Source organism: Homo sapiens, chromosome 1 (assembly GCF_000001405.40).
Source record: "Homo sapiens chromosome 1, GRCh38.p14 Primary Assembly".
Lineage (NCBI taxonomy): Eukaryota > Metazoa > Chordata > Mammalia > Primates > Hominidae > Homo > Homo sapiens.
Genome location: NC_000001.11, coordinates 238,477,166 through 238,486,535, shown reverse-complemented (window position 1 = coordinate 238,486,535; position 9,370 = coordinate 238,477,166). Strand labels below are relative to the sequence as shown.

General features: G+C 38.2%; 1 long non-coding RNA gene across 1 annotated transcript; it reads left to right on the top strand.

Moving 5' to 3' along the window:
• Positions 1–518: 518 nt before the first annotated feature.
• LINC01139 (long intergenic non-protein coding RNA 1139) lies at positions 519–6,152 on the top strand. Its single transcript, NR_015407.1, has 2 exons — positions 519–751; positions 4,855–6,152. It is a non-coding gene; the product is annotated as a long intergenic non-protein coding RNA 1139 (long non-coding RNA).
• The last annotated feature ends 3,218 nt before the right edge of the window (positions 6,153–9,370 follow it).

Genomic DNA, 9,370 nt, shown 5'->3' with positions numbered 1-9,370 from the left:
CAAGAACGTGGCATTAAACTTTTCAGTAAAACAGGATTCTGGATGCCATAAGAATAAACAAAATGACATTTCTGCTGTTTCCTTAAGGAGGCTATTCCTCAAAGACTTAACACTAACAAGTCCAAGTAGAATTTTCCAGCTGGTATGAATGGATCATGGGGAAGCTGTTATGAGAGCAGGGAAATTCCAGATAGGTCAGGAAAACAAATTGTATAACAAGATATAGAGCTTAAAGAAAAAATATGCCATGACTGTATTCACTCTCTATCACCTCCCATTACCTCCCTGACAGGCAATCACCACTGGAATTTAATATTCTGGAATTCCTGTACATTTAGCCAGAGTATGAACTTTCACTAAAAAAAAAAAGGAAAAAGAAAAAAAGCATGCGAGACAGCCAGGTGGGAGCGGATCCCCAGAAAAACTCCAACCGGCCTGCACACTGGGGTGGAACCTCAGGAAGTTCATGCTGTTTGCAGCGGGGAGGAGCCTGGCCTCTCTTCTTTCTGTGTGGAACCTGGAATTCAAGCTGTGGGTGAGAAGCTCTCTAGCAGGGACTCTGACCTTATGGAGGATCGCTGTTTCCCCCATTTTTCCTTTTCACCCAAAAAAGTCCTGCTTCTCTCACCCTTCAAACAGCCTGTGAGCCTAAATTTTTGTGGCCATGGGACAGACAAGGACCCCGTCTTCAGCTGAACTAAGGAAAAGTCCTGCGACATCTTTGGTACGCACTGTGGAGGCTCTACAAACAGTGAGTGAAATGCATGCCAATAATTCTTTCCCTTCCCTCTCTCTCCTGAGCCCTCTCATCCTCCGGCTTCTGAGGGTAGAGGAAACCATGCCACCACCCCCTATTACTCCTAGGGTTAGGGGCCTTTTCACAGCCTTTTCTCCCTTTTTTGGAAGGAACGGGTGAGCAGCGGCTCCCCACCGCCCTCCCTTCCCTGCCGGGGCTGGGATACCTGGCTCAAGGCGTCATGAGTGGCTGGCGTTTTCTGCCACGCACTCATGGGATCTCCTCCTCCCTGCACCGGGGAGGCCAGCTCTGACCCACAGCAATTAAACTTGTCTCCCTGGTGGAGGAACCACTTGGGTAAGAGTAAGAGGTTCTTCCCCAGGCATTTTTAAACCCCTTTTTTTTTCTCCTCTTCACACCCAGTCAGCAGTGAACTTAGTCTCTGTAAAGCTTCAATTGTGGAAAAGGATTTGTAGGGCTAGTCTTGGGCCGTGGCCAATCCTGGTGTGCTTTGCATGTCTGTATGGTGTGTGCTGCAAGCCTCCATCTTGTTTTACATCCTGGGGGCGTGACCAGTAACTGCTTGGCAAGGTTTGTTGAGCAATCCTGCCTCAGAGGATGAGCCCTCTCTGGTTTGATATCTGCATGTTTTCCTAGCCCTGTCTCTTAAAGGGCCTCACCCAGCAACTGGATTTTCTAATGCCTGTGTGTGTGTGTGTATACTGTGTGTGCTGTCTTTAAAAAGATCTCTAATTAATTTGTCCTAAAGAAGACAAGCACTTGGATCAAGTATTTTTTAAGGGAAGTTAAAAGCTGTGGTACCTTTCAGTTCGCATGACTTTAATCTTTGAGAAATCAAAACAGCCCCTAAAGATTATTGGTAAAATGTAGGTAAGATGCAAGGTTTGCTAAGTGTTTCAAGGTTACAAACTGCTTTTTGGGTTTTGAAAACTGTCTGTCTCCTCTGCTTCACGGCTGGTAGGGCCTGGGGACATATGGAACTAATCACCTCCTTAACTAAGAAGGCAAACCTTGGCTACAGTTAGCACACAATTAAAACAATTTACCAGGTTTTAAATTATTGTTAAAAATTACTAGGAGTTACCATTATAACATGTAATTGAGACTACTGGAAATAGATTTGCATGCAAGGAGTGTAAGAACAGTGAAGTATGTTTTTTAGTAAAAGGTTATAAGAAGGCATGAAAATGTAAATTTTTGCCTAGGGTTAAAGGATTGTTTTGAATTAAATTATTAAAAAGCTGAGGGTTCAAAGAAGTGATGGAAGAATTGTGAAAATTAACCTTGCCGAAGAGGTTCTCTGTGTGAACATATTGACTAAATTCAAAAAACCGTATTATATGGTTTTTCTGTAAATTGAGCATTGAAATAAAAGCCTAACAAAGGTTTCCTATGGCATTAGCTGCTCTTTGGCAAAATCTGTAAAGGGTTATAAAAGGTTTTTGCTTCTTTACGTTTTCTGAGTCATCATTTTTGCAAAACAAATAATTTGTGGTAATCTGGAATTCTGTTTCATAATATCAAGTGTTTTAAACCTTGAACATTTAACAGCCTTCCCAAAATCAAACTTGAGCTTCAAAATTGTCTTCCCCGGCACCTGGCTTTTTGAGTAGTTTGACAGGGCCCCTGAAGTGTCCAGAGAAGAGAGGTAAACAGAATTATTTGACATGTTTAGGTACATGGGATTGCCAAAATGATGTTCAGTCTTCTTTAGGTTATATCTTGGTAAATAATGCTAATATATGTTCCAACATTGTATGAGATTTCTAAAATTCTAATGTCTAAGTATATGCTACCAATCATAATTAAGGTTAAGTTATTGCAAACCACAGAGATACCCAAACATTTTTGTCAGTTGTGTTTCTAACTGTCACTACCCTGGGCATTTTGCTATTCACAGACAATTGTTGTCTTGCTTTAATCCTTTTCAAAAGATGGTTTATAATAAGCTATAGAACTTTAGGTGGTGCTCTCAAATACAGGCTTCTGAAAGCTTTTGAGATTGTAACATTGAAATAAAGGAAAATTTATGGGGCTCATAAAGAGCTGAAATATTCACAAATACCAAGCAAAACGAGTTAACTAGATGGACTGAACTCAGGAAGCTGAAGCAAATCTTTTTGACTTTTGCTTGGAATATTGCTGATCCTTGTTTTGTTTTTCACAGTCAAGGAAACTTATTTTGAACTATTTACAGTCATTAATAAGGAAAGTATACACTCCTGTGATCAAAATTTGTAGCATGTTTGTTTCTCTCTGCCTGGTTCCTCTAGAATTTGGAAACTACCTGTGAGTATTCTTATGGCAATATAGTTGTTTGCATCAGTGCAATAAGAATCCATTTTTCTTTTGCAACAGAAAACAATTGGAAAAACTGGTTATTTTACCAAGGCTTTGACTGGAAGGGCATACTTCCCTTTACGGAGTCAATCTTGACTTGCAGAGCCAATAAAAGCCCCATGCGGAAGCTGTCCTCATACTCAGTCCCTGTATAGGGTTCCTGACCTGTGATCAGTAAAGAGTGTCACTTTCTAACAGGTCCAGGAGCTCCAAGTTTATCTTGGGACCGTAAGAGGAGAGGATGACCCAACTCACATGTATTTGAGAATAAACCCATGGCTAGGATGGCTTTAAAAGGTCTTATCTGAGATCCCTTGAGGAACAGAGTTCCATCAAAGCCAATCTAAAAGGCCTGTGTAGAAATAATTATTATGCAAATAATCAGGCCAAGTATAAGGCTAAAGTCTATTTTGCAAAACACTCGGTCTTATCATGGTTTTTTTTTCTTAACAAAAGTGAGGACTGGAGAGAAATTATGTTTCAAAAGTTATACATTTGTCATTAAATTCTAAACTCACTAGTTGTTTTTAAGTTTTTGCCTACATTTTTAGACTAACCCTGCTTATTCCTGTGAACCAACCAGCAATCCCCAGCTGCAGCTCAGAAAGAACAAGAGGGGTGTTATCTGGTAATGTAGAAATCTGGATCAATATTCTAGTTCTGAGCAATTATCCTGCAAATCCTGCCAGGTGATGGGAATAAATAGAATGTCCATCACTAGCAAGTTTCCTTTTTGGGAGAGTAAGACCAAGAGCCCTAACCAAAGCCAAGCACCACGCACCGAAACCCTAGCAGGCATAACCATAGCCACCAGTTATCTGGGTGTGTCACAAGACATCCTTTTCTCTCCCTTGTTGGAAGAGGACTCACTTCCACAGCTTTACCTTAGCATTCAGCTTATCATAAGGAGTCCATGCAATCCCAAGCTTTGGGTCAAACTGGATCTGAGGGATCCGGAGGCAGACAATAATGGAAGTTAAAAGGCACAGCACAAGTGAGTGTAGCTGATTCCTGCCCATTAAGCCAACCCAGGCTTCTTGTTTCATGGATAAAGGCCACGTTAATATCCATGGCATGAAAGAGGTCTAGGGAACTCCAAGGCTACTTACAGTAGGGGTGATAGAGGTATAGGTGAAAGCAGATAATTCCTATTCTCTAGGCCCCCCAGCTTCATGGGTGCAAGCCGCTTTGGTACTCATGGTGGCACTTGCCAAGTTCTCCAGAACTTGGGGATGCAAGGACAGCAGATGGAAAAAGGACGCTCTTCCATCACTCCCTGAAGTACCCCGGGTATCTGTTAGGAAGTGAAGGGAACCATGGATGCCTGCTCACCTTTCTAGATGGGTAGCCATTCATCTTCACTCTGTACCCCTTTCAAATGCATCCTGAATCCCTGGGACTCCTTTAAAAAATGCCTTCTCTTTTCCTTTCCCCTTCTCTGTCTTTTCTTCACAGATAGGTAATTGTGTCCCTGTACTATGGGACACTCATCTCAGATGCATCCTCCAAACTGGAAAGAGTTAATTTCCCAAACCTTGAACTGGTTGGCTTGAGATTAGGCTCAGGGGAAGGGAACACAGAAGCCCAGTGTGCCGGCAAAAGGGTGAAGTTTTTTTTTACCGGTCAAGCTTTTGGCCTCCTTCTCCCTTTGCAAACTGGTAAAAGGCCTCGGGATTTTTGAGCTCTCCTTACCCCTCCCCTTGTTTCATTCTGATACATGTTTTCTAATAACCTGGTTCGTCTGTTCTTGCCTTCAGGCCATCAAACTCCAACCAGTCACCCAACCAGAGCCTCTGAGGATGGCCCCTTCTGCGGGGAACCCTTACATGGGCCTCTGACTGATGCTTCCCCAAAACAGTGCCCCCTGTCATCAGGAAGCAGTTAACACTGGTCTTCATTCTTACGCTTATCCTTATTCTAACAGCAGTTATATGTACTTCTTTAGACGGGGGAATAAGACAGCCAGGTGGGAGGGGGTCTCTGGAAAACTCCATCTGGCCTGTGCACTAGGGTGGAACCTCAGGAAGTTGATGACATTTGTAGCTGGGAGCAGCCTGGCCCCTCCTCTTCCTGTGTGGAACCTGAAATTCCACCGGCTTGGCAGGAAGCGCTCTAGCAGGGACTCCGGCTTTGCAGAGCATCCCTGTTTCCCCGTTTTTCCCTTTTCACCCAATAAAACCCTGCTTCACTCACCCTTCAAACCATCTGCAAGCCTAAATTTTTGTGGCTGTGGGACGGACAAAGATGCCTTTAGCTGACTGAGGAAAAGTCCTGCAACACAGGTATCACTGCACATTTATAATATTGTTTCTCTGTTTTAAACCTTGTATAAATAGGAAAATATTGTATATAATCTCAAGCAGATTGTTTTCTTTTGAAAAGTATTCATATATGTTAAAGATGTAGTTCTAGTTCATTCATTTTCTCTGTTTTGACTCTTTTATACATATACTACAGCTCATTTATCCATTTTCCTACTGTTGCAACATAGATTGCTTATAATTCTTCTAATTACTAACAATGCTGGTATGAAATTGTTGTGTATATCTCTGGTAGATATGTGTTATTTCTTTTTTGCAATGCTAGATTATAATTATTTGTCTAAGGTGGAGATTACCAGGGTAGACTCGCTCTGGCCGTATGTAATGATGTCTGTGGCTACATAACCTGCCAACACTTAGTCTTATCACACATTTTATTTTAAAATCAATATGTAAAAAATACTAATTTACTTGGTAGTAATTTAAATTTTTCTGATTATTACTGAGGTTGAATATGTTTTCATATGTTTACTGAATATTCCTGTTAATTTTCTCATGAATTTCAGTTAATGTTTCTGTTGATTTTATTAATTTGTAGTGGTTTTGAAACATATTCTAGAAACCAATATTTTGTCTGTTGTATGTGTTACAAATATATTTATTTTGTATAGCTTCTTCATATTTAGTACTTTTACAATTTTAACAGTAAAATTAGTTTCATGTTTTATAGCTATAATTATTATAACTTTTAAATAAATATTTCCTCAATTAAAATAAAAATGCATTATCCTTAATTTTCTTCGAAGATTTTTGAAATGTGTATGACTTTTTCATTCTTGTGCTGGATTTCTACCTGAAAAATATTTCTCCCTTCTGAGGTTCAGTACCTGTTTTTTGATGTAATGGTATGAAAAAAGGCATACTCACTGCGTTAGCTAGAGCTAAATATTTACTGACTAATAGTGGTCTCTTTCCTGCTACACACACACACACACACACACACACACACACACACACACACCCCATCATCCTGGTAACTTCCTGAGAGTCTCTTTCTTGTTCATTTCTCCTTCCATACAGGAAGGGGAGGGGTTTGAATCTAGAATGCTGATCTATTTTTAACAAATAGCCCTAACTCCTTCCTCTCCCATACTTTAAAGCTGAGAGTTAGGAGAAGCATCTTTAGCTTCCTTTAAGAAAACAACTTATGATTTCAAATTTACATTGTTCTAAAGTCTCCCAATTTTCATCCAACTCCTCCCTTTGAAAGAAAACCAGCTTTATCTTCAAGATGAAATCTAAACCCCACCAGAGTCAACAGTACTGTTTTCTGTTTGTAATTTTTTACCTCAAATTGATTCAGAAATGTAATGGAAGTTCCAACATAGTCTTAAAGGTAGAAGGAATGGGGAAGACATGTCTACATAATTCTAAATTTCTGGACAAAGAAGGACTTAAAGATAATTAACACACTTTGGAAAATAAAAGCAATAATAAATTTCTAATACCAGATATTGAATATTTTATTAAGCAGCAATTATCAATACTGTAGAAATGCTGCACAGACAAAAATAAAATAGAAAAAAAATCCCAGAAACAAACACAAGTGTATAATCAAATAAGATTTTAGAATAGTGAGAGGTAACCTCTTATAAATATTGTAATAAAAACAATAGTTATAATGATATTGAAAAAATATTCCCTAGCTAATGGCAGTCAAATTATTTCCAACGAAATAACAGCATTAAGAATAGTGAATCACAGGATGGGTGTGGTGGCTCATGTCTATAATCCCAGCATTTTGGGAGGCCCAGGCAGATGGATCACTGGAACTCAGGAGTTCAAGACCAGGCTGGGCAACATCGTGAAACCCTGTCTCTACAAAAAATAGCTAAATTAGGCAAGCGTGGTAGTGTGCACCTGGAGTCCCAGCTACCCAGAAGGCTGAAGCGTAAGGATCACTTGAGCCTGGAAGGCAGAGGTTGCGGTTAGCCAAGATCCCGCCACTGCACTCCAGGCTGGGCCACAGAGCCAGACCCTGTCTCAAAAAAATAAAAATAAAAATAAAAATGACTAGTGAATCAATTATATTACTCAAATATAATTATAAATTTTTAAAGCTATTTGAATTGAATAAATTTTAAAGAAGAAATGCAAAGGGAACAGAGTACAAAATTATTTATTTAAATATATAAAATTTGTAAGTATGTGAAAAAAGAATCAATTAAATAGCAATAGAATAAGTAGAAAAATAATTTGCAAAATTTATTGTAAAAGTGAAATATTTTATGTAGCCTATATTATGTAAAATTGTTATTACCAATAAAAATAAAATATAGATCATAAACAGACAATACATAAAATAACATATAATACCTATTTCATATTTCATATGTACCGCATATAATACAATATATCATAAGCATTAAATACATATATCACTTTATGATATATAAATATGCTATGCACCATTATACAATGGATTATGCAAAAGCATCCCATTTTATTATAAAATATACTGTTATGAAGATACAGATGCTCCTTGACTTTGATGGGGTTACTCTTCCATAATCCCACTGGAAGTTGAAAATATCCTAAATCAAATGTACACTTTTTTACTTATAGCGTTTTCAACTTATCATGGGTTTATCCTGACATAACCCCGTCATAAGTTGAGGAGCATCTCAATGCATATCACTTTTGCACCTTTGTAAAACTGAAAACTTGTAAGTCAAACTATTGTTAAATCAGGTTTCTCTGTATATAAAACATTATAAAATATTACTTATTAAAATTGTAACATTTTAAAATATGTGGTGTTTTTTCAAATTAGTATGAAAATGATGTAGCATCTTCAAGGCTCATTTAGGAAAGACCATGAAGAATAAACTAATTATCCACATTCTTTAGCCATAATGGAAAGTATTAACACTCTAAATCTTTAGATATTTTACAAAGAGAATATACGATTATAAAATGGCTATAATAAAATGGTACCACTATACTTTAGTGGTGGTTTAAATTTATACACTCTATAATATTTAATTAAAATCCCTTAATTGCACATGTTTCATATAAGAATGTATCAAATAAAAATCATGAGATGTCCCCAGGGATATCTGATTGAAAGTTTTCATTAGAGTGCTATATAAATAAGTAAATATTGCAAACCAACTAAAATGATGATAGATGAAAGAAGGTCTACACATTGGAATACAAGGCAATGAAATTTTGATGTCATTGATATCAATGATGATATAATAAGTAGAAAGCAAATCAATACACACACACACAAGTTTTGGAGACATGTTTTACTAGTTTATCCATAGATATAGAACTGTGATTTTTCTCTTTTTTAACTTTTCAGTGTTAATACATTCTAGGATTTCCAAATTTGTGATGTTTGTATAGTGATTTTACAATAAGAAAAAATTACAAACTCCCAACTTTTAAGAGGTAAAAAAGCTTGTTATGGTTGTGGAAAAAAGGGTTAGCGTGGAAGGCCTATGTGATATTGTGAAGCATAGATTTGGTCTTTATCCAGTTTCCTGACATATAGCTCCTAAAACCCTTGGAATCTCTTGAGTGATGTCTTTTGTATGCTGATGAGATGACTGATGGTAGGAGAGGCTAGATAGCTTGGGATGGGGGCTGGTCACCAGAAAGACCAAGGCATAATTGGAGAGTTGGGATATTCATTTCCATCCCCAGCCTTGGGGACAGAAAGGAACTGAAGGTTAAGCTGATCACCAATGGCCAATGATTTAATCAATCATGCCCATATAATTAAGCTTCCATAAAAACCTGATAGGACTGGGTCCAATGAGCTTCCAAATAGCTGAACTCATGGAGCTTCCTGGAGGGTGGCCTGCCCAGAAAGGGCATGGCAGCTCTTCCCACACACCTGCCTTCTGCAACTCTGCTCTCTGGCCATTCATCCACACTCTTTGTAATATCCTTTATAATCAACCAATACACAAAAGTGTTTTCATGAGTTCTGTGAGCAGCTCTA